The sequence below is a fragment of the Homo sapiens genome, chromosome 14, assembly GCF_000001405.40.
Source record: "Homo sapiens chromosome 14, GRCh38.p14 Primary Assembly".
Classification (NCBI taxonomy): Eukaryota; Metazoa; Chordata; class Mammalia; order Primates; family Hominidae; genus Homo; species Homo sapiens.
Window position 1 is genome coordinate 65,606,030 of NC_000014.9, and position 26,113 is coordinate 65,632,142.

Below are 26,113 nucleotides of genomic sequence, written 5' to 3' on the forward strand. Positions count from 1 at the left end.
CACCTGTGACTTGTCTATTAATTTTATTGCACAAAAATTGTTAGTTTTTTTTTTTTTTTTTGAGATGGAGTCTCGCTCTGTCGCCCAGGCTGGAGTGCAGTGGTGCGATCTCAGCTTACTGCAACCTCCGCCTCCCAGGTTCAAGTGATTCTCCTGCCTCAGCCTCCCGAGTAGTTGGGACTACAGGCGCCTGCCACCAACCCTGGCTAATTTTTTTTTTTGTATTTTTAGTAGAGACGGGGTTTCACTGTGTTAGCCAAGATGGTCTCGATCTCTTGACCTCATGATCCACCTGCCTCAGCCTCCCGAAGTGCTGGGATTACAGGCATAAGCCACTGTGCCCTGCCCAAAAATTTTTAAGTTTTAAGGCAGTCAGATTTATTAGTCTTTCTTTTTATGGTTTGGGCTTTTAAAAAAAAATCTTATTTAAGAAATTCTTTTCTCTCCCAAGATCATGAAGAATGCAAAATTTCTTCTAAAATTTTTAAGTTTTGTTTGTAAGATTGTTTGAATTTTCTGTGAAACCATCTCTTATTGAATTATTTTTCCTTTCCATATTAATTTAGAATGATACCTGTGTCATATGCTAAGATCTCTTTCTAGGTGCTTTATTCTGTTCCATTAGTCTTATCTGGCTTTGTGCCAATACTACACTGTTTCCATTAGTAAAACTTTGTTTTGTTTTCTGATGGGGGGAAATCCTATTTTTTTTCTTATTTTGCAAAATGAACTAGCTTATTTTGGAGATTTTGCTTTTTCATAAGTATTTTAGGATCACTTTGCTAAATTTAATTAAAAAATCCTTTTGGAATTTTTATTAGAATTGTATTTAATTTATAGATCAATTTGGGAAACAACTACTTCTTCAGAAAATTTATAATTTTTTAATGTATGAGGTATGTTGCTGTTTGTTAGATTTATTCCTTGAAAGATTATGATTCTGCTGTTACTGTTGTAAATGTGATATTTTAAAAAACACATTTAGTAATTTGTGGTTGTTGTTGTATAGAGACTTTAATTTCTGTACATTGATATTGTATATAGTGATGTCCCTGAACTTTATTAGTACGATTTGTAGATTATCTTGGATTTTCTGTATTAAAGTTTATATTATCTGAATAACATTTGTTTCTTCATTTTCTACACTTGTAAGTCTTACTTCTTTATCTTATTACCTCAGCTAAGGCCTTCAGTACAGTGATGAATAGAAGCATAGATGGCAGGCCTGTCTTCTATTGTTCTTAGATTTAAAAGGAATGCTACTGATGAGTTGATCCATAGAATGTGATATTTATTATGAATTTCTAATATTCCTTACTGAATTAAAGAGTTTACCTTCCATTCATTCTTTCTTGTTAAGGTGTTTATAATGAATAAGTATTAAATTTTATCTAATGATTTTTTGTTTCCATTGAGATTGTAATTTTATTTTGTTTTAATTTGTTAATGTAATCAATTTAAATTAATAGTTTTTCTAATCGTAAACCAATGTAGTATTCTTAGGATAAAGTTGAGATAGTCATGTATTTTTAAATATATTGCTGTATTTACTAATGGATCATTTGGGAGTTTGAAAATAAGCTTATATTTGAATTAGTCTTTAATTTCTTTGTTATCCTTGTCTACTTCTATATCAATCTTATACTAATCTCAGGAATGGAATTTTAGAATTTCCTCTCTTTTTATATTTCCTAGATTTTGATTCGATGTTTTATGAATATTTGTAAAACTCATATAAAAATGCTAGAACCTGGCCAGGCACGGTAGCTCATGCCTGTAATCCCAGCACTTTGGGAGGCTGAAGTGGGCAGATCATGAGGTCAGGAGATCGAGACCATTACTGGCCAACATGGTGAAACCCCGTCTCTACGAAAAATACAAAAAAATTAGCTGGGTGTGGCGGCGCATGCCTGTAATCCCAGCTACTTGGGAAGCTGAGGCAGGAGAATCACTTGAACCCGGGAGGCAGAGGTTGCAGTGAGCCGAGATTGTGCCACTGCACTCCAGCCTGGCAACAAAGCTAGACTCCGTCTCAAAAAAAAAAAAAAAAAAATGCTTGAATCTAAAGTTTCAAAAAATTCAATAGATTTTTGACCACTGAAAATTTTTATATATTATTGAGTTCATTTTGTAGTTTAATTCCTCTAGAAAGTATGTTTTTTATGTTTTTAAAGCAAGTGCCTGAAAATATAGTAATTTTTGATATGTTTTAAAATTCCTTATCTGTTTGTGATTCTCTTTTCTTTCCTAATATTGCTTATTTGTGCCTACGTTCTTTTTCTTAATTAAGATCTTTATTCTTTCCAATGTTCATGGCATAATTGTTGAAAGTATTTAAGAAAGGCAACCTGTTTTACATGAATTATTAAGTGCATTTTTGATGGGAAAAGTTTAATTTCTCAGAGAGCCGTGTAATCATTTCATTTAGGCTACAACTCACTAGTTTTTCATATTCTGATTGCAAAGCAGTAATTTACTGGTTTTCATATTATGTTTTAATGCATTGAATTCCTTTAGAGTGGGGCTAATGTTTGGGTATTAGAATGGTACCTTTTTGTTTGAATAAAGATTTTCATCAAGTTTTTATTTGGGAGAATAATTTTTGAAATACATATCAAATCTCAGAAAAACTTAACATGTAGGCATCCTTAAAGGCTTTTAAAATAGGAATGAGGATCATCTACAGGAAACCCTAGTGATTAGCTGTTTCATGTTTTGTGATGTCAGATGTAAGCAGTGAACCAGGCCAGCCTATATAGCTATTGCTGCAGCTGCACAGTCCAGCTTTCTTGGATTTACCTAATAACTAATGATGTCTAACGTCTTTTAGTGTGCTTAATTCGCCTTTTTGTCTTTTTTGTTCAAACATTTATTTAAATCTTTTTGCTTATGAGGTTTTTTCTTTTTTTTCCTGATGATTTGATACTTTATGTAGTCTGGATACAAGTCCTTTAACAGATGTAGGATTTAAAAATATTTTCTTGGCCAGGCGCAGTGGCTCATGTCTGTAATCTCAGCACTTTGGGAAGCCAAGGCGGGTGGATCACCTGAGGTCAGGAGTTGAAGACCAGCCTGGCCAACATGGCAAAACCCCGTCTCTACTAAAAATATAAAAATTAGCCGGGTGTGGTGGCGCGCTCCTGTAGTCCCAGCTACTTGGGAGGCTGAAGCGGAAGAATCACTTGAACCCGAGAGGTGGAGGTTGCAGTGAGCCAGGATCGCGCCACTGCACTCCAGCCTGGGTGACAGAGTGAGACTCTGTCTCAAAAAAAAAAAAAAAATTTTTCCTCTAGTCTGTGGGTTATCTTTTCATTCTCTTAACTGTGTCTTTCTAAAAGAAGAGCTTTTAATTTTAGTGAAATCCAGTTTATCAATTTTTTCTTTTGTGGATCACACCTTTCTGTCATAGCTAAGATAACTTTGCTGAACTGAGGGTCAGAAAGGTATATTTCTTGTTTTCCTCTTGTTGTGAAAACTGTCTGCTAAATTATCTTTGTGACTTTATTTAAAAAATAAATTGAGTGTCCATTTATGTGTGGGCCTATTCCCGGACTCTTTTCTGTTTCATTATGCTCTTTGTCATCTGTCTTTATACTAGTACCTCACTGTCTTGATTATTGTATGTAGTTTTATAATAGGTCTTTAAAAACTTTTTTTAAATTTTTTAAATTTTTGTTCATTCATTCATTCATTCATTCAATCAGTCATTCAAACACCAACTCAAGCCAGATACAATAGGTCTTAATATCAGATGGTGTTTGCCTTTTAGTTTTATCTTTTTCTGATTTGTATTGAGTATTCTAGATGTTTGTGTTTCCATATGAATTTTATTACTGGCCTGACAATTTCTAAACAAATTCAGTGTTGTTTTATAATTTTAAATTTATAAGTCGTGCCCATCTTTTGCCAGATTGATACTTAATTTTTTTCATTTTTTTTTGCTATTGTAACTAATAATGTGGTTTAAAATATTAATTTCCAGTTGTTTTTTGCTAGAATATAGAAATGTAGAATATAGAAATATAGAATTGAATTTTGTATGTTGATGTTATATTCTGCAACCTTGTTAAACAACATCAGATTTTCAACATAGATTATCATGTTATGTGAACCGAGGATAGCTTTGCTTCTTTCATTCCAATTTGAATGCCTTTGTTTCTTTTTCTTGCCTTGGTCTACTGGCTAGAATTTCCAATATCGTGGTGAGTAGAAGTGGTGAGAGAGGACATCTTGTTTTGTTTCTGATATTAGGGGCAATATATTTATGCTTTCACCATTAACCTATGGTGTTAGCAGTAAGTTTTTAATAGATAATTGTTATCAGGTTGAGGAAATTTCCTTAATTTCCTAGTTTCTGACACCTTTTTTTTTTTTTTTGAAACAAAGTTTCGCTCTTGTTGCCCTGGCTGGAGTGCAATGGCACAATCTCGGCTCACCACAGCCTCTGTCTCCCAGGTTCAAGCAATTCTCCTGCCTCAGCCTCCCGAGTAGCTGGGATTACAGGCATGCACCACCATGCCTGGCTAATTTTATATTTTTAGTAGAGACGGGGTTTCTCCATGTTGGTCAGGTTGGTCTCGAACTCCCAACCTCAGGTGATCCGCCTGCCTCGGCCTCCCAAAGTGCTGGGATTACAGGCGTGAGCCACTGCACCCAGCCATTTCTGACACTTTTTATCAGGAATTTACATTAGACTTTTGTTAAGTCCTTTTTCTGAGTGTATTCAGATAATGTGTTTTGTAAAATTTTGTTTAAAAAAAATTTTGTCTATAGGAAGAATTACATTGATTTATTTTTTAATGCTAAGCCAATCTTGGATTTCTAGGATAAACCTTGGTTAACCATGATTTACTATCTACATTACATATGGTTGGGTTTGGTTTGCTAAATTTTTTTATAATTTTTATATTGGTGTTCATGAGAGATACTGTTCTGTAATTTTTTTTCTTACTATATCTTTCTCTGGTTTGATATCCAGATAATACTAACTTTATAGAAAGAAGTAGTCCCTCTAGGTTTTTTTGCCCAGTGTGGCTACAATAGGGGTTGGCAAACTATGGCTCATGGGTCACATCCTACCAACCACCTCTTTTTTTCATGGCCAGCAAGCTAAGAATGATTTTCCATTTTTAAGTTGTTACATTTTAAGTGTCATACACACACACACACGCGCGCGCGCGCGCGCGCGCGCGCGCACACACACACACACACACACACACACACACACACACACACACACACACACACACACACACACACACACACACACACACCCCCCAAGTAATAGCCTTGATTTTGCTTGTTGGCCTATAAAACCGAAAATATTTATTAGGAAAAAGTCTGCCAGTTTAATTGATTTTCTTTCTTTTTTTTTTAAAGAACCAGATTTTAGTTTTCATTGGTTTTTATCTATTTTTCTTTTTCTCCATTTCATTGATCGTCTCTCTGATCTTTATTACTTCGTTTCTTCCACTTAATTGGAGTTTCATTTGCTCTTTTTTTCTTAGTTTCTTAGGGTAGACGCTACAATATATAATCTGCAGTAAATCTCATTCTTTATATTTTTCATTTCAGACATTATAGTTTTCATCTGTAGTAGTTCAACTTGGGTATCTATTAAAATTTTTTCTTTCTTTCTTTCTTTTTTCTGAGATGGAGTCTCACTCTGCCACCCCGGCTGGAGTTCAAAGGCGTGATCTCGACTCACTGCAACCTCTGCCTCTTGGGTTCAAGCAGTTCTCCTGCCTCAGCCTCCTGAGTAGCTGGGATTACAGACGTCTGCCACCATGCCTGGCTAATTTTTGTATTTTTCATAGAGACAGTATTTCACCATGTTGGCCAGGCTGGTCTTGAACTCCTGACCTCAGGTGATCTGCCTGCCTCAGCCTCCCAAAGTGCTGGGATTACAGGCGTGAGCCACCGCACCTGGCCTATTAAAATTTTAACATCTTTTTTATATCTTCCCTGTCTCTAACTTTTGAACATATGAAATACAGTCATAATAACTGTTATTTCTATGGTGATTCTAACATCTGTGTCAGTTTTGAGTTGGTTTTGATAGATTGATTTCACTCTTCTTTATGGGTTGTCTTTTCTTGTTTTTTTGCAAGCCTGGTAACTTTTGTGGATTCCAGACATGAATTTTACCTTGTTTGTTACTAGAAGGTCTTGTATAATTTACAAATATTCTTAAATTTTGTTCTGGGATGTAGTTATGTTATTTTAAAATAATTTGATCCTATTTTGTCTTTTAATAATTGTTAAGTGGGACCTAAGCAATGTTTGGTCTGGGGCACATTTTCCTGCTATTGAGGCCAAATCCTTCTGAGCATTTTACCCAGCATCCCATGAATTACGGTTTTCTAGTCTGGCTGATAGGATCAGGAACTGTTTCTACCTAATCTGTATGAATGCCAGGTACTACTTCCTCTAATCCTTTTAGAGAGTTCTTTCCCCAGCCTGAGTAGTTCCTTATGTGTGTGTGCTGATGAGTACTCTGCTAATTCCAAAATGGTACCTTTGCAGATTTCTGGAATTCTCTGTCCTCTACAGTTCTCTCTTATTCAAACTCTGTCTTGGTCTTTTTAGACTCTTAGCTCCATTTCTTCAACTCAGTGAATGTACTGGCTCCATCTGCATTTCCCCTCCATACACTGTGGTCTGGAAACTCTCTGAATGCAGTAAGCTGGGACAGTCACAGGGCTATCATCATTTGTTTTCCTTCTCTGGTGATCACTGCCCTTTGTTGCCTGATTGCAATTTTATTAGATCATTGTTTAATACATCTAACCTGGATTTTGAGTTGTTTCAGGCAGGATGGTAAATGTCTTGGCTAGAAGTGGAAGTCTTATATATCTGTATCTTTGGCATGGTGAATGTAAGAAAGCATTCTGTTCCCTAAGTATTCAGAAAAGAGACTGTTCGTGCATATTGACTCTTTTCTGGATGGAGTTTGGAAAGAATAGTTCTCCTGTATTTTTTTTTTAGAGTGATTTTTCCAGTAATTTTCTTTTCCAGTTTTTTTTTTCACAGTTGGATTAGATTATTAGGCAATATGGATTACTAATTCCATTATGTTTTATTAGAATTAGATTGGAACTCTTTGTGGAAAGCTACTGAAAAGATCACATGCTATTTTTTTCATGGCTGTTTTGCCTCTGATGTTTATTCCACCAATATTTGAAGAAAGAGATAAAAAGGAGAACCTAGACATAATCTTTCTATTGTCAATTTTTCTATCACTAACATATGTTCTGAAAAAGGACATTCCTGTCCTATAGTATATTGCTGCCAAAATAAATCCCAAGAGATTGAAGTTTTATTCTATTTTCAAATTGTTTCCTAGAAACCAGCCACCTAATTCACAAAGAGATTAAGAGCCAAGTCTTAGAAACATAACTTTAAAAAACTATATACCAGGACATGCCTCATTTGTGAATGTATGCGTGCTCATAAATTGGGTAATTGTGCACCTAACTACTGTATTCATTTTTTATTATTCGCTTTGTGCTTATACAAATGAAGGCTTTTTCATTCATATTCTGTAGCCTTGGACACTCATGATTGGAGGATAGTTACTTTTTATGCTCCTGTTCAATGTTAATGCGTACAATTTTACAGGAAATTATAAAATGTCTCCAATTACTTTGGTATAGCTGTAACAATAGCTACTTTATTAAACGTGTTCTGAAGTAGTGTAGGTAATTGACAGTTAATTTGGCTTTATCAGGTTATATAGAAAATGTTAGAGAAGCTATAAAAAACCTTTCGTATCAGAGTGTTTGCCTCAAAAGGCTATGTTGGCTGGGCGCCGTGGCTCATACCTGTAATTCAGCACTTTGGGAGGTTGAGGTGGGCGGATCACTTGAGGCCAGGAGTTTTAGACCAGCCTGGCCAACCCAATGAAACCCCGTCTCTACTAAAAATGTAAAAAAATTAGCCAGGGATGGTGGTGCATTCCCGTAATCCCATCTGCTCAGGAGGCCGAGGCACGAGAATCATTTGAATCTGGGAGGCAGTGGTTGTGGCAAGCCAAGATCCCATCACTGTACTCCAGCCTGGGTGACAAATCGAGACTGTGTCAAAAAAAAAAAAAAAAGACTGTGTTGACATCTGAATTTAAGTTCTGCCAACTATAATTTAAAACTTAAGTTCCCTTAAACTGGTCATGATGGTAAGAATAGATAGCCCAGACTTTTTGAGATTACAGCTCATCTCTAAAATGACAAAGCTCAGATATAATAGTAGCCTTCATAAAATTTATTGCCAGACACTGCTAAGTACTTTTACAGACATTTCCTCATTTAAATAGACTTTGAAAGAAAAATCAGCTATTTAATCTTTAGGACAATTTTGTAAAAGGATCAATATATGTACGTATTAATTTCCTATTGCTGCTTTGACAAATACCACAAACTTTATGGCTTAAAACAACATAAATTTATTCTCTTAAGAGTTTTGGAGGCCAGAGATCTGAATTGAGTTTCACTGCACTGAAACCAAGATGTCAGGAGGGCTGGATTCCCTAGAGAAGCTCTAGGAGAGCATCTGGGGTATTTTTGTTTGTTCGTTCGTTTGCCTTTTCCAGTTTCTAAAAATGTCTTCCTTGCTCATGGTTGCTTCTTCCATCTTCAAAGCTAACAGCCACATAACCTTTTCCTCTTCTGTAGTAAAATCTTCTTCTACCTTCCTCTTATGAAGACACTTGTTATTACAAAATGGCTCACCTAGATAATCCAATCTCAAAATCCTTAATTATATATTCAGAGTTTCTTTTGCCATAAAGAGTAATATTCACAGATTTCATGATTAGGTTATGGATATCTTTGGGAGACCTTTGTTTAGCCTACCACGAAATTGTATTATGTACATCAAAGTGGAGTACAGTATACTGCCATAAGTCACATAAAAACAAAACAGGAACAAGCACAGTTTGGAATTAAGTTGAACAGAGAGGTTGATAATATAAGTAAGAGATCTTGGATTGCTGTTCTGTGTTCCAGCTTTTATATTATTGACTGATTGTTTTTGTTGCTGATAGAAATGAATAGAACAATGATCTTCAATTTTTTATTTTTATTTTTTCGAGACAGGGTTTCACTCTGCTGCCTACACTAGAATGCAGTGACATGATCATAGTTCATTGTAATCTTGAACTATGGTTCAAGGATGGTTCAAGCCATCCTCCTTCCTTAGCTTCCTGAGTAGCTGGGACTGCAGGCACACACCACCATGTGCCCAGCTAATGTTTTCATTTTTGTAATGATGGGGGATTGCTGTGTTGCCCAGGCTGGCCATGAACTCCTGGGCTCAAGTAATCCTCCTACCTGGGCCTCCCAAAGTGCTGGGATTATAGGCATGAGTGGCTACACCTGGCCCAATTTTTTTCTAATATGTTTTATCTTCTACTCTTGTCTTTCTTTTTTCTATATAAGACCAATGCTTAGTAGTCTAATGTCATGAATTGAAAGACAGATTTACATAGTCTGATATTATAATTAATTTAGAAATACATTATATTTGATGTTTGAGCATGTCCTTAGACACATGTTCAGATATGCTTCGTTATTCCCTTTAAGCCTTTTCTTTACTTTTTCCTTCACTTTTGTTACTCTCAATGCTAATGAATAATTGACCTCTTTGCCACTGATCATGGTACTCTGGGGATGAAAGATTTTTAGGAAACAGCTCTAGAGGTTTGTTAACTCCTAGAAGATCATAGATTTCTGAAGTAGATTAATATTTTCTATTTTTCGTTATTATCATTTCATTGTCCATTTCACTGGTTAATCCTATACCTTTGAAGAGAAAATTCCATTTGGTACTACTTTTGTGCTATATGGTTCAACAACTTATGGAGTTTACAGTATAAATGTTTTAGAAAGTGAGCTTGTATTTTGTTGCACAGTTTGAAAGCTAAATGTTTACATTATCTTCCCTAAACTACAGGATACCAGAAGGCCCTATTGATCAGGGGCCAGCTATAGGAAGAGTACGCGTTTTAGAAGAGCAGCTTGTTAAGGCCAAAGAACAGATTGAAAATTACAAGAAACAGACCAGAAATGGTAGGTGATTATACAGTGTTTTCCCCTCCTCAGTATATGGGCTTTAGCACAGATAATTGAAAGTTTCCTTTTATCAAAATGTTGGAAATGCTACAACTCTCTATTCTTTGACTACAGGTCTGGGGAAGGATCATGAAATCCTGAGGAGGAGGATTGAAAATGGAGCTAAAGAGCTCTGGTTTTTCCTACAGAGTGAATTGAAGAAATTAAAGAACTTAGAAGGAAATGAACTCCAAAGACATGCAGATGAATTTCTTTTGGATTTAGGACATCATGAAAGGTACTATTCTCCTTTCACATTTTATTTGGGCTTTAGAAAAGATTATAATCTAAGAATGAGAAACAGACTTGTTAATCCATCTGTTGAGTGGTAAATATTAATAGCACCTACAATATTTAAGAGGCGAAGAGTACCTGAGGTCCCAAAGGATGGTAATTGCCAAGTGCAGTTCATCAACCAAAATATACCACCAGAAAGTATTAATTAAAATGTATTTCTAGAAATCTTTACATTCTAAATAAATTCTGAAGGTAGTGGTGCCAGCCAACAATACATTAAAATATCTTTCTATAAATGTTCTTTATATATAATCAGTATTTGAAGTGGAGTGTGCAGTTTTGCATTGCGGTACATTGGAACTCATAGTGAGTCCGATGGTTACATTTCTAATTCAAACATTAAAAACTTTAAAATAGCATTTTTTTAAGGATTTCTAATGAAAGGTTAACAGGATTTTTTTTTTCTTTAAGTAAAAAGGAGCATTCTGTTCATTGTTCTTTCATTAGTTGCTGGAAAGAGGTACCTGAGATCTGCCTGGTTAAATTTGTTTCTCCTATGCACACGTTGCTAAATAATATGAAGTTTATCTTCCACAGAAAAGAAAACATTTTGGTGCTGTTGTATTCATGCAGAACAAAATGTATCTGAAAATCATTATAAATACAGTGAAACCTGTCTTTAGGCCTGTTATATTTAAAAGTCTATGTTTCCAGTAGGATTCTGATGGCAATTACTGTCTCATTAGTGAACAATAAAAGAAAAATTGTTGTATTAGCACAACCTACTACTGTGAAGAGGAAAAGAATTACCCCATACAAGTAAGAGATTTCATATTTATTAACATCAGCAGCAATATTATAATGATTTTGAAAAATTGCTTGGTTGTTTTAGGTGAAATTATAAATAAAAATCTGTCTATTGGAATCATTTTAGCATTAATGAATCTACAGAAATATGATAGCATGGATTTCAAGGGGCAGTGAATTATTAGGCCACACATTGGACAGACTTTTTGATATATTTAGCCCAACTTGCAGTCAGGCCATACTTAGACCACTAAACCAAATGCTGACTAATTCTGTCATTAATATTTCTCTACCCTAAAGCTGATTCTAGGCACGAAGCATCTCTTAAATGGAATTTTGTGCTTGTGTTCTTTGCTTATCACAGTTTTTTAGGCCAATTCACATCTGAAGAGGATTTGACTTGGGTAGACTATGCTGTATGTAAAGGAGAATTTTGGCCACTGACTTCTGATGGAATGTTTAATTTTAAGATTTGAGTAATTGGGCTGGGCGTGGTGGCTCATGCCTGTAATCCCAGCACTTTGGGAGGCTGAGATAAGAGATCTCTTGAAGCTAGGAGTTTGAGACCAGCCTGGCCAACATGGTGAAACCCCGTCTCTACCAAAAATACAAAAATCAGCCATGCATGGTGGCACATGCCTGTGATCCCAGCTACTTGGGAGGCTGAGGCCCAAGGATCACTTGAACCTGGGAGGCAGAGGTTGTGGTGAGCAGAGATCATGCCACTGTACTCCAGCCTGGGCAACAGAGCAAGACTCTGTCTCAAAAAAAAGATTTGAGTAATCAAATAACTTGAGAATTTAATTTTCCAGTGTTTTTAAAAATTAATTCATATATATATATATATATATATATATATATATATATATATATATGTATGTATATATTTATTTATTTATTTTTTAGATGTGGAGGTCTTTCTATGTTACCCAGGCCAGTCTTGAACTCCTGGTCTCCAGTGATCCTCCCTCGTCAGCCTCCTGTGTAGCTGGGATTATAGGCCTGGGCTACCATGTCCAGCTGAATTGAAATAATTCTTTAAGGAATTATTTTGTAAATAATAATATAATTTGTTTATATAACTCGCATATGTTTTGTGACCATATGTACAAATGAAAAGTGAATATAAGAAATGGGCCCCTGAGAAACTGATATAAATCAGTTTTCCATTTTGTTGTTGTTGTTGTTGAATTATGATTCCTTACAGTGCCATTTAGTATGTTAAATAATGGTAGTTCATTGAAAACAAAAATGGTAAGTAAAGGTACCCAAGTCAGTTTATTTTCCTGTCTTAAACAGAAATGACAATGAATCTGGGACATAACTTCATAGGGTAGTAATTTAACTCCAGGAAGCCAGATTAGAATGCAGTAATACAAATAATGAGCAAAACACAATCAAACATTAGAGAAATAACCCTTAAACTGACGGACGTACAAATAGAAAGGACTTTTATTATGTAGAATATACCCTTTTACTGACCATTTTCAAGATCCTTAAGTATAAGAATTAAAATCAAAACAAACTTTTAGGTTTGCCTCTGGTAATTTTTATATGATACAAAAGTCCATTTTATTTTTACATTGGCTCAAATGATAGTGTATAGGTTTCTAGGTCTGTAGCTGGGACCATGGTCAGTGAGGCTGCCACCTGGGTATGGGCCTGCCTTCTTAAAAGAGCCCTCCTGAGTCTTGGGCTCTATTAGGGTTTTGCAGCCTTCTACCTGGGTTAGAAGATTATTAGCAGATTATTGAACTTGAGTAGTTCATTGTGGGAGCCCCTGATTTGACAGAGTGTGGGTACCCTGGCCACTTTGTACTTGCGATGGCATGTGAAGTGGGGTGTAGTATTATGGAACTGAGAGGTCTGGGCTAATTCTGGGTAGTTTGTGTCACTACCTAGTTGGTGTCCACAGAGATTTGGAGAATTATCTGATGTGGAAAATGCACATATTTGGTGTCAGAAGTGTTCTGTGGTGAAAAACAGATCATAATAGTAGTAGTAATACTAAGGGCAGCTAAAGTTGCTGGTTTTTGAGAACTACAACTACAGACTCCCTGTTTCTCTTTGTGAGTTCACCACGATGCCTGTGTTGTTTCCTGGTAGAAATCGCATTTCTCTGTAGGTTAGTGACCCCATCAGTGAGCTGTGGGGGTAAGACTCCTCCTTTGTTGCCCACTTGAAGCTGTTTCCTAGTAGTCAGGGCACCATGTTTCCTCTCCTGGAATCTGGCTCCTGTTGTTCATCACTTGCATTACCAGGCATTAAAATGCAGCCTGGGGGCCAAATATCATAAGTTTGATCTAAGATTCAACTCACCTGAGATTTTTAGCAAAATACTATTTATTTACCTGATTGGCCTTGATAGCTAATAACTAGTAGAGCCTAATCTCTGCCTGCAACCACAGTTGGGTAATCAACTGGTAGTAATTAGTAATATTCTTGGGCTTTTAGAAGCTTTTACAGGCTGTTTTAAGAATTTAGAGGTGTTGATGGTATAATAAATTTAGAGTAGCATATTAATTATTATCTGCTATATTGATATCAAGTTTTAGCATCACTAGATTTCTAAATGATGATTTCATTCTAGTGATTGCATATGACCATTCTTCCCAGTAATACAGTTAAATATACTTGTAGCTTTTGATATCATTGATCATGAATTGACCCTAGCCTACCTCTTTGCAGTAGAGAGAATTAAGCGGTTTAGAGTTAGTATTTTTGCCATTGTGGTTTTACCATTTATCTTGTATTGTAGGTTCAGTGCTTCGATTTATGGCAGTTTAGATGTGTACCTCAACCTCTAAGCATATCATGGAGTCTGTCTTATCAACCTTTCAGGCTGATGCAGAGACATGTTTAACTTAATCACTGTTGCTCTGATTCTTTTTATCATCTTCATATTGCCAAATACCAGTTTATGAAAAGGGTACCAAAGCTGCTTCTTTCTGCTTTTAAAATTACCATATTTTTTTTAAATTTATTCATTTATTTTATTATTTTTTTTACCAAGTTCTGTTTATGGTAATTTATAACAATTATAAAACTAAAGTACAGGAGATGAGCCATTTTTCAACTGTGTTGACTGAAACTATTGAAAAACAATCTGTTAAAGTAGCAATCTCATCTCCCTTACCTAGTTTGCATTTCTCATTATCAGTAATATATAGGGCAGCTGTGCTTAGACTAAATTGTGTTCTCCAAATAGTGAATGATACTTATGTTAATTATGCTGATTTGCTAATGTACAAAAAGACATTGTGGGGGATTATGTAACAAAAGAAATGACTGTGACTCAAGGGGTACACTGGGAAAGATTGATAGAATAGCTTACAGATTTTTTTTAAGTTTATGATCATAGTTGTTGTTGCCCAATAGCTTGTATTTTCATTCTGTTTGGAAGGTCCAAGAATTGATATTCCCACTCTTGAAAAGTTAAGTTTGGTGAACCTTCAAACCTTCTATTCTTTGTGTTTTATTTCATATACACAAAAACAGAGAGAGAGACAGAGAGAGGAAGGGAGGAAGGAAGATCTTACTAAGTTCTCTGAGATGTGATTTGATTGAGACTTATATTAAGCTGGGATGTGGATATTCTTTCTTGAATTTCGGATTTGTTTCAACAAAATGTTTTTGTATGATTGTCTTCTAAGGAATCCAAGCTTATTTTCAAGTGGTGCTAGAACATTCATCTTAATATTCATGTGCAAAGGGATACATTTCTTTATGAAGTCATCCTTATTCTGCTCATCACTTAGTCTCTATCAGCCAGATAATGATTCTTCATCGCCTGTAATGGAACAGTGTCTCCTAAAATAAAGTTTGCATTAGAAGAAGAATCTCCAGGTGGAAAAGGGTGTTTTTCATCTAGTAGTTCTAATTCTGTTTTGCTTCCTACGACCACACATCTTTTGGGTGTGATTTCCAAACTTAAGAATGATTTTAGATTAAAAATAATCACTTACTAAGGATTTCTTACATGCCAGTCACTATGATAAAGGTTCTGCATTCATTATGTTACTTTATCAGCACAGTAGTCCTACAAGGTATGCATTATTTGTTCCTGTTTTTTTTTTTGTTTTGTTTTCTGAGACAGAGTCTCGCTCTGTTGCCAGGCTGGAGTGCAGTGGTGTGATCTCGGCTCACTGCAAGCTCTGCCTCCCGGATTCAAGCGATTCTCCTGCCTCAGCCTCCTGAGTATCTGGAACTACAGGCACACGCCACCATGCCCAGCTGATTTTTGTATTTTTAGTAGAGACAGGGTTTCACCATGTTGGCCAGAATAGTTTCGATCTCTTGACCTTGTGATCTGCCCGCCTTGGCCCGTTTGTGCTAGGATGCTAGGATGACAGGCGTGAGCCACCACGCCTGGCCTATTTGTTCCTCTTTTTTTTTATTTAAGATGGAGTTTCGCTCTTGTTGCCCAGGCTGGAGTGCAATGGCACGATCTCAGCTCGCTGCAACCTCTGCCTCCCGAGTTCAAGCGATTATCCTGTCTCAGCCTCCTGAGTAGCTGGGATTACAGTCGCCTGCCACTACACCCAGCTAATTTTGTATTTTTAGTAGAGACAGGGTTTCTCCATGTTGGCCAGGCTGGTCTTGAACTCCTGATCTCAGGTGATCCGCCCACCTTGGCCTCCCAAAGTTGTTCCTTTTTGTTTTTGAGATGGAGTCTCGCTGTGTCATCCAGGCAGAAGTGCAGTGGCACGATCTTGGCTCACTGCAACCTCCGCCTCCCAGGTTCAAGCAATTCTCGTGCCCCAGCCTCCGGGTAGCTGGGACTACAGGCACACGCCACCATGCCTGGCTAATTTTCATATTTTTAGTAGAGACGGGATTTCACCATGTTGGCCAGGCTGGTCTCAAACTTCTGACTTCAGGTGATCCATCTACTCCAGCCTCTCAAAGTGCTGGGATTACAGGCGTCAGCCACTGCGCCTAGCTTAGTTCCATTTTTATAACTGAAGTTATATTCAGTTCTAGAGAAATTAGGTGGCTTAACACAGGCTAAGTTAACAGAACGGTTTTACTCCAAAATCCGTTCTCTTAATTGCTAAATACTTAGCTTTTCTGAGCTTTTTCTCTTCTACGTACGGGGATATAATTCCTATAGCACAGCATTGTGATGATTACATGAAGGAAAATATATAAAATACTTTACCTAGTGCGTGACACATTATAGATTCTAGTAGGCTCTGGTCAGACCTATTAATACATTAGGAAAACTTAACTCTTAGACCCTGCAGAGCTGGCACAGATAAAGGCAGATTATTGAAAGACTCAATAGGAAAAATGTTAAGGCCTGGAAACTAAATGTAAGCCTAGTGAACATCACTCACCAAAGTAACATAATTGTTGTCTTATATATGATAGTATAAGCTATTTTTGTTGTCATCCTTCTGGAGTTTTCCCCACCTGTGTCAGTTGTCAAGATGGTGGCATCCTAAAGTTCCTCCTTGAGATAAGGGAGGCAATAAGGAGCTTTGTTTTCTTGCCTGTCTCCTGGTCACATTTTTATCCTTAGCATTGCTTATTTTTGCTGCAGGAGCAAACCGAAGTAAAAGCAGCTTTGGACAAAACTCAAGTAATTTTTCTTGCCCATGATGCAGATTTGCCCATGGATTTGACTTTGAGAGTAAATCTTAGTCACATTTACCCCCGTAAGTGTTAATTCCTTCACCTTCTTGCCTGGATTCCATCTCTGTGCTGGCCCTTAGGGGGAGCTTCTCTGTTTTTTTTTTTTTTTTTGAGGCAGTGTCTCTCTCTGTCACCCAGGCTGGAGCACAGTGGTGCAAAAACGACCTGGGCTAAAGTGATCCTCCTGCCTCAGCCTCCCGAGTAGCTGGGACTATAGGCGTGTGTCCCTGCAGCCAGCTAGATTTTTTATTTTTTGTAGAGAGGGGGACTTGCCATGGTGCCCAACTCGGTCTTGAACTCCTGTGCTCAAGTGATCCTTCTGCCTTAGCTTCCCAAAATGCTGGGATTATAGGCGTGAGCCACCACGCCCGACCAAACTTCTCTCTTCAACATTTTGAATCAGGCGTAAACAAAAAGCCCTCTTTGTGTTTGGTTCCTCAGTGGCATAGAGGCAGACTAGAAGTCTTTTTTTTTTAATAGTTTTATGACTATTGAAATAGAAAACTAGAGAAATTAGCAGAAAATATAAGGAACATAAAACATAACCAATTTTTGAAATAGAGGTTTTAATACCTGTCATAGGTGGCTTGCTTTCAGAGTCATAAATTCTGTTCTACTTGGCGGGGCGCGGTGGCTCATGCCTGTAATCCTAGCACTTTGGGGAGACCGAGGAGGGTGGATCACATGAGGCTGGGAGTTTGAGACCAACCTGGCCAACATGGTGAAATCCCATCTCTACAAATACAAAAAAAGCTCGTCAGGCATGTAGCTCATGCCTGTAATCCCAGCTACTTGGGAAACTAACACAGGAGAATTGCTTCAACCCAGGAGGCGGAGGTTGCAGTGAGCTGAGATCGTGCCACTGCACTCTAGCTTGGGCGACAGAGAGAGACTCTGTCTCAAAAAACAATAACAACAACAACAAGTTATATTCTACTCGGTGTCTTCAGGCAACTTTATTGTATCCTCAAATGGCCAGCACTATTTTGCTGGTACCTTGCCTAGCTTTGTTATTTCCCAAACCTTGACCTGGTCTCATACTAGGTCTTTAGTATGCCCACTTATTAGATTTCTTGATATGTTCGTAGTCAAAACCACAACAGCCAGATTCCCTGCTTTCTGGGACTCTTCTAGGAGATCTGGTTTCAGGGTAGAGTTACTGAAAACCCAGGGCTTCTGCAGAATGGTTTTGAGTCACTATGGTTCCCTTGCTGATTTGATTATCTTCTTGTCTTTGACCAAAAAATAAATACTGCAGGATGATAACTTTCAAATATAATTGAATCAGTAAAGAACTAGTTTGAATTTAAGGTTGTATCCTGGACTTAATTGTCTTGCTTACATGGTCTCCAACAGAGAGGCCGAGAAACAAAAGATTTTAAAAACAAGCTTAATTTTAGTGGATCATGAAGTTACAGTAACTTATATTGATACCCTAACTGCATTATCACAAAACATTAGTGTACTCTTTTTTTTTTTTTTTATTTGATGTTTGGTCTTCTAGTTGCTTGGTTATTCTGCTTTCTAGGTAGAGACAGATGAATGTGAATAATTAATTGCCAAGACTTAGTACTGATGTAAACTTGGTAAAAACATTGACATAAACTAATTTATTAAAAAAAGTAGAGATCAGCTTTCATTCACAATGGTAAAGGAATGTCTTGATTCCTATGACAAGAAAGCATAAACCATGCTAATGCTTATATTTCAAGGCACTCTTCTCTCTAAATTAGACCTAATGCAGTTTTTACCTCCTTGAGGCTATATGATGATTGTCAATGAAATGTAATGCTTTTTGTTTCTGTATCTGTTCCTGTGCATTCGTGCACCCATGTGCATGTGTGTAGTGACACATTTGACGTAAAACTGAGAGCATATTGAATTTCCTTTTTTCCTTCAACAGACATTTGCTGATAAACTGGTTATTCCATTGTATGACATCTCCAGCACGATACTGTTATTTAAAACTGAGACTTGCGCCTGCGCAGTGGCTCACACCTGTAATCCTAGCACTTTGGGAGGCCAGTCACCTGAGGTCAGGAGTTCAAGACAAGCCTGACCAACATGGTGAAACCCTGTCAATACTATAAACAGAAAAAATTAGCCGGGTGTGGTGGTGCATGCCTGTAATCCCAGCTATTTGGGAGGCTGAGGCAGGAGAATCACTTGAACCTGGGAGGCGGAGGTTGCAGTGAGCTGAGATTGTGTGACTGCACTTCAGCCTGGGCAACAAGAGTGAAACTCTGTCATAAATAAATAAATAAATAAATAAATAAATAAATGTAAAGTTGAGACTTGCAACAAGTTTTGTGATTACTCCTATTTGATAGGTAGGAAAAAACAAATGACCACATTCTATTATGATGAAACCTATGAAATATAAAGAATAATGAGTGTGATGAGGGTGATGGGAAAGAGGCTTATGAAACTGAGAATATGTTTTAAATGAAGTTTTAGCCGAGCCCTATAGCCCTATTATAGTTAAAGACTTTTGTGTTTCCATGAGCAACTCACAATTTCATACAGATAGTGACTTTCCCCCTCAGTAACTATAAAAAAATACTGTAGTCTACATAATAGTCCATAGAGGACTCAGTTTTATAATCTGAAAAAACTTTGAAGTTGAAACTTTGCCTAGTCTAAAGACTTCAGGTTAATTTCTGCATTGTAGGTTTGGTTTTTGCAGCCAAAGTCTCTTTCATGAAAAGAAAATGTTTTGAATCCTAGCTGAGAATAACAAATAAGAAAATGGACAAGGCATCACATATTGGCCTCTTGCCTGTTTTAAAAGGGTGAAAATGGAAGTAGATAAGCTGCAAAGTGTCCTGTGTGTGATGAATGTTGACACATGAAACAAATGTCTAAAGTGCTTCACAAATGGAACTGTTGTTCCAAAGCATCGTTCAAAGTTGTTCCACTATTAATTTAGGATGAATAGTCTAAATGGTGGCTAAGATTTTTAATTTTTAATTGAATTAATAGTTTCACTTTATTCAAAAGGGGCTATTATCACGTATTCTCTGTTAATCATGTGTACTTCTAATGGCTTTCTGTGATAGTAAATAAGACTTTCCTGTGGGCTGCCATTGCATTTTTGCTAAATAATTTAGCATCTAGTTAAGAATCAGGAATAAAAGAGTACTAAGACTGTGTCACAAGCAAATCACAGTTGTTGAGGGCATATTTCACCATCTCTTAAGTGATTCCTTCTCATTGATCAATCCCCCTTCTTCAGGGTGTTATATGGAACTCAATATTGGATCATTTTTATAATTGATTATCAATACCACGTGTTACTGTTACCCACATCTAATGGCTCCTTCCTCTTGGTAGTAGAATTATTAGTAGGTACTCTTCAGACACAGTGTAAAAGCTCAGAAACAACTCTCTGAGGACCTCTAGCATTAAAAAAAAAAAATAGCGGCTACCACATGTATTACTATTTTGTGTGTATTTTTTAAAGAGCTTTAGAGAAGGTCTTTTGATACTTTGTCTCAGAGATGTCAAAATAATTTTCCTAGGACACAAAATTAGTAGGAGATAGAACCAAAATTGAGAAATTGGTATGTCTGGCTCCCAAAGCTCTCTCCTCTGATTCAGACTTTCTGATTTTTGGATATTTACATTGAGGAGAGGACACATTATTGTGCTCTGGACCTCCTACTTTGATATTTGTTAGTGTAGTAATTAGAAGCCTGGACTTTAAAATTCATTGCTTGGGTTTGATTTCCTACTCTGACATTTCTGAGGTTTGTGACTTTGAGCAAATTATTTAACCTCTCAGTGCCTGCCATTTCTTACCTAGTTTGTAAGATTATTGTGAGATTAAATGAAATAATGTAAAGCACTTAGAATAGGTGTACCTATTTATTGTTGTTCTTTTTTATTTATTGTAATACATCAGTTTTCTCTAAGTACTCTTGGAATCTCCAGCTAATGCTTTATGTTTTTAGTTAATACAGTCATTGTAAGTGATTTCTAGATGTGTAATTTTTCTGACAATATAAATACATTTCTGACTTTATAATTTTCATAAGCAAATAATCCATAATCTTAAGCATGCCAGAGGAGTTAATACAAAGTGTTGAGAAGGGATGAAGCTGGAGCTACACCTGGGTAAGGATTATTCCCCAAACCTGTCTACCATCAAACTGGATTTGTAAAAGATAAAAATTATCACCGTTATCTCATTATATAAACTCTTGAAGGTTTTTCTTTTGCTACTTTTTCATTCATCTAAAGATATTTATCGAATATTTTGTCTGTGACATGCACTGTTCCACATGCTGATTTTAAATAACAAAAAACAAAAAAATAAAAGAAGCAACCAAAAAAAAGTTCATTCTTTTGGAGCTTAAATTCTAGTAGGGCAGAAAGATAAGAAGTAAGTAATATTGTATATTGGAAAATGATAACTGCTTAGAAAAAAAAAATAAGCAGGGAAGGAGTGTTAGCAGCAGTGAATCCATACGGGCCTGCAGCAGCTCGATTCTTGCTTCCTTGGAGGAAATAATTTGGCCAGGGGAACATAAGGCAGAGTGAGAGATCAAGGCAAGTTTTAGAACAGGCATGAGAGTTTATTAAAATGTTTTAGAGCAGGAATGAAAGGAAGTAAAGTACACTTGTAAGAGGCCAAGCGGGCGACTTGAGAGGGTCAAGTGTGCTGTCTGACCATTGACTTGGGCCTGTATATATTGCTATGGTTCCGGGGTTTGCATTTCTTCTTACCTGATTTTTCCTTGGGGCAGGCTGTCTGCATGAGCAATGGCCTGCCAGCACTTGGGAGGGATCGCATATGCAGTGTGTTTACTGAAGTTGTGCACATGCTCATTTGAGGCTTTTTTTCCTTACCAGTTGAGTGTTCCTAGAGGAAGGTCATATAACAGTTAAAGTCTGCCATTTTGCCTCTTAGTACGCGTTTGAGCCAACTCACACAACTCTTGAAAACTTATCAGGAAGCTGCTGATGACCAGCTTCAGTTGTTTTCTATCTATTTAGGAGACTGCCGTTCCCTGGCACCAGCTGTGACTAGTTAAATTATTTTAGAGAGATACTTTAACAACTGCCTGACCATCACCTGATGGTCGCCTGACATTGCTTGGAGGTTAAGGGGGTGCCTTCTTCTGCCCTCTTAAGTCTGCCTAGCTACCTACTCAAACAGGAGGAGAGGGAAAACCAAGGGTTGAGGGTGATAGGCGGGAGTGTTGGATTTTTAAGTGGGATAATCTGGGAAAACCTTATGAAGATGGTGACATTAGAGCAAAGATTTCAAGGTCATTTAGATGAGCCATGTGAATAGATATCTGAGAAAAGAGCATTCCAGGGCAGGGAGGATCAAATAGAAAAGCTCTGGAGTAGGAATATACCTGGCAGTGTCAGGGGTTAGCAACAAGACCAGTGTGACTGAAATAGAGAAATCAAGAAGGATGGTAGTGGGAGATGAGATCAAAGTGAGCCATATTGGGTGGGGTCTTTTAGGTCAAAGTAGTAATTTTGGCTTTGACTCTGAGCTGAGGAGCCAATTCATGTTAAGAACAAAGTAGTAACATTATTTGTTGATGTTGTAACAGGATCTAGCTGATATATTGAGAACAGACTTTAGATGTAGGCAATGGTGGAAGCAGGGAGACCTTGTTAGGAGGTTGTTGTAATCCAGGTGAGAGAAGATGGTGTCTCAGTTGGTAAAAGTGCTGGTGGTGATATGTGAAAAATTAGAAATTAGCTATAAATTTGCTGACAGATTTGTAGGGGATGTTAGACAAACAGAGACTCTTGCTTTTTACTTTTCTTTCTTGCTAAATGCAAGTCATAATTTTTATTTAATGCAATATAAATAAAACCATTTGTAGCAGCCCTAAAGTTTCTCTTTTTAGTTTACTGGAGATTTTACTTTACTCTGCAGGTAATCCAGCATGTTGTAATTGAAATTACTGATGCTACACAGAATGGGAATTACTGATGCTAAATAATCATTTTATTAGTTTAGACCAGGACTCAGCAAATTATGGCCCAGAGACCAAATCTGGCTCATTGCCTGTTTTTATAAATAAAGTTTTATTCAAACACAGCCACACCTATTCATTTGCATATTATCTATGGCAGCTTTCTGCTACAAAGGCAAAGGATCTTAGAGATCTGTAGAGACTAAAATATTTACTGTCTGGCCCGTTAATGAAAAAATTTGCTGACCCTTGGTTTATACTGTTAAGAGTTGTGTAAAAATTTTCCTCTGATCTTTTTCCAGTCACTCAGAGTGTTTAAATATGAAGAGAAAAATTAAAAGGGGGCATGAAATGATAGTAGAGAGAACCAAGAGGTACTAATACTAACGTCAACTTCTTTCTCTATGTTAATTTACTCATTTGTTTGCTTTGCGTATTCACTTTCCTCCACATCTTTGTAGTGCTTTGTCTGTGTTGAGAAACAAGTGCAGCTGACTAGCTTGAACAAAAAAAGTATATTTTCTCAACAGTGAAAATTTACTATAGGAATGACTATTGGATTTTAAGAGACTAATTTTTGAATTGCACAACCTTGATAGAAAATAAAAGATGAGTACCAGTGTCAATGCGAGCATCAATCTTTATGAGGAATCTGGCATTCTTCTTAAGACTTTGTGTAATCCAGTGAAGCAGTACAGACAAGTTCGATCTCCATTGTTGTTTGTTTTAACAGGTCTATAATGACGGATCTATACTACCTCAGTCAGACAGATGGAGCAGGTGATTGGCGGGAAAAAGAGGCCAAAGATCTGACAGAACTGGTTCAGCGGAGAATAACATATCTTCAGGTAAGAAGGTTGGGTTAAGAATAAATTTGAGTGAAAAAAAGAAGGATCATAATATAACTAAGAGTAATAATTTCAGTTGTTTTTAGTCTTCCTGGCCCTTGAAAATCAGTACTCACACATTTTACATATTTATTCAGAAAGACACTGTGTTATGCCTTGAGTGGAATACAAAGATGGCTAAAACAAAGACCCTGTCCTAAAGGGAGCTACTTCTTACACACGTACACACACACACACACACACACACACACAATACAATACAAATATAACATCTTACATTTTATAGGAGAGAAATAGATGAAATGCTTATTGGAGTTTTGAGTAAGGAGACATCAGGGATAGTCTTGTAGAGAATGTATTGTTTGAAGTAAACTGTAAAAGATAGTTAAATAGGATTTGGACACACAGAAATGAAGGAAAAGAATGTACCAGCTGGAGGTTATCAGCTAAGCAGTGGCTCGTAACTGGGAAAGAACAGTACAGGAACCCATATGATAAGTGTGGCAGTTCAGTTTGTCTGGAATTTTAGGTTGTGTGAAAGGAGGGATGGAGAATAAGTTGGAAAGGTAGGCTTGGAAACAGATTACAGAGGTTAAGGTTTATGGTACATAGGCAGTAAGGGGTCACTGAAAGATTTTACTTATTTGTTTTATAAATGTTATTATAACAAATAGAAAGTATTGGTAAACATCAAGTCTCAGACCCTTTAAAATTAATTTCACTTTGTTTTTTGTGTTCTTTTCTAGTTCTTATTAATATGTACACACCGTCTTACATATATGTAAGAAAATAATTTATTTTTGATTTTGTTTTTCTGCTTAATATGCCATAAGCATTTTTCTATTTTGGAGTCACAACCTGCTTTTGAAATGTTTTACATACAAAAGTGGTATGAGAGTGGTACTTAAGTGATATTAATCTGAAACTAGTATTTTAGTTGAACTTGATTATTTGAAGAGACTAGAAGCAGGGAGACCATTTAAGATAAGAGGACCATAGTGCAGGTAAGAAGTATTAAGGTATGTGGCAGTTTGCTTTGGAAGTGAAGAGACAAATTTGAGAGAGATTGGGAAGATAAAATTGATAGGCCTTTCCAAGTAGATGAAAGAACTGAAATGGCTGGGATAATGGGGACATCATTATCTGATAAGGTGCTGAGGGACAGAATAGTTTTCAGGGGAAAACAATGAGTCAGTAGAATCTTCAAATCTCAAAATGTTTGAAGTTGAAATGACCTTGGAACATCCTCCACCCTCATCCTTTTCTAATGCTGTGGATGGCATACTGTGTACGCTCTACTTTCCCTGTAAAATTAAAGTATTGTATAAAAGCAAAATGACAGCCAGTGATATGGTTCTGTATATTTTAAGGTGCACATTTTTCTACACTTAAATAGGAAAAAATAGAAAATCAAGTGTTTAAAGAGATCATTAAAAACCAAACTGATCTTGGCATGCTATCTTGGTCTCATACCCACATGGCCATTCATCAGAGGTGTCTGCAGAATGAGAAACACTTCACCTCCTGTAGGGAAGAGGTAATTATCTCCTATCAACTAGAACCTCACTCAGTGAACTATAAACAGCTGGTGGTGCAGAACCATCATCCTTATTTAAAATGGAAATAACTGTGGTTTCTGAGCTTCCTCCATTTCCTCTTATTCGTTAAATTTTCACCAACTATATCTGGTGATAGTTCTAAACTATGATCTAGTGATAGTTCAGCTACCTAAACTGTAACAAGTACCTGCCACCTGTTTTAGTTTCCTTTTTTTTTTCCTCTTGGTTTGTGGGTGGCCAAGTGCTTTCACCTGTAGTACTAATTTGATCCTCTATATGCTGATTTTTGTGGTTCCGTATTAGAGAATTTCATTTGCAAATCATGCTAATAATTTAAAGCTACATTGGCTTTTTAAATCTTTTAAACTATAGCAAAACCTAGCACTTTACTTGGACCTTACCTTCAGTTTCAGATATTGCTATTTAACTTTACTTTCATGCTTTTCCTTTTTCCCCCCATTGGAAGGAAAAGGTGATTTTTTTTTTTAATTTTCAAGGAGATAGGGACAATCTCAGTAGAAAAAAAGTGCTTTGGAAAAATATTTTTCTTTTTTTCATAGGTTGTTGGAGTACAGGTGGTATTTGATTACATGTTCTTTAGTGGTGCTTGGTGAGATTTCTGTGTGCCCATCACCTGAGCAGTATACACTGCACCCTATTTGTAGTCTTTCATCGCTCGCTCCCCTCCCACCCGTCCCTCCAAGTCCCCAAAGTTCATTGTATCATTCTTATGCCTTTGTGTCCTCATTAGCTTAGCTCCCACATATCAGTGAGAACATATGGTATTTGGTTTTCTATTCCTGAGTTACTTCACTCAGAATAATAGTCTCCAATCTCATGGAAGTCGCTGCAAATGTCGTTAATTCATTCCTTTTTATGGCCAAATAGTATTCCACTCTGCATATACATATACATATACACATACATATACATATGCCACAATTTCTTTATTCACTCGTTGATTGACGGGCATTTGG

The 26,113-nt window shown here is 36.7% G+C and overlaps 1 protein-coding gene across 13 annotated transcripts in view; it reads left to right on the top strand.

Annotated features, from left to right (window-relative positions):
• FUT8 (fucosyltransferase 8) overlaps positions 1-26,113 on the top strand; it is a 387,280-nt gene that overhangs the window by 249,188 nt on the left and 111,979 nt on the right. For 7 of the 13 annotated variants that reach the window (NR_038167.1, XM_047431181.1, NM_004480.4 and 4 more), the window contains 3 exons: positions 9,949-10,064; positions 10,182-10,344; positions 23,463-23,577. Coding sequence is in view for 12 of the 13 variants with exons in the window: in XM_047431181.1 (XP_047287137.1) it covers positions 9,949-10,064; positions 10,182-10,344; positions 23,463-23,577 (394 nt within the window). In the remaining variant the exon portion in view is untranslated. Of the gene's footprint in view, positions 1-9,948; positions 10,065-10,181; positions 10,345-11,060; positions 11,163-23,462; positions 23,578-26,113 lie in introns of all 13 variants that reach the window. The other 6 variants (XM_047431179.1, XM_047431177.1, XM_017021138.2 and 3 more) reach the window with 1 other exon arrangement.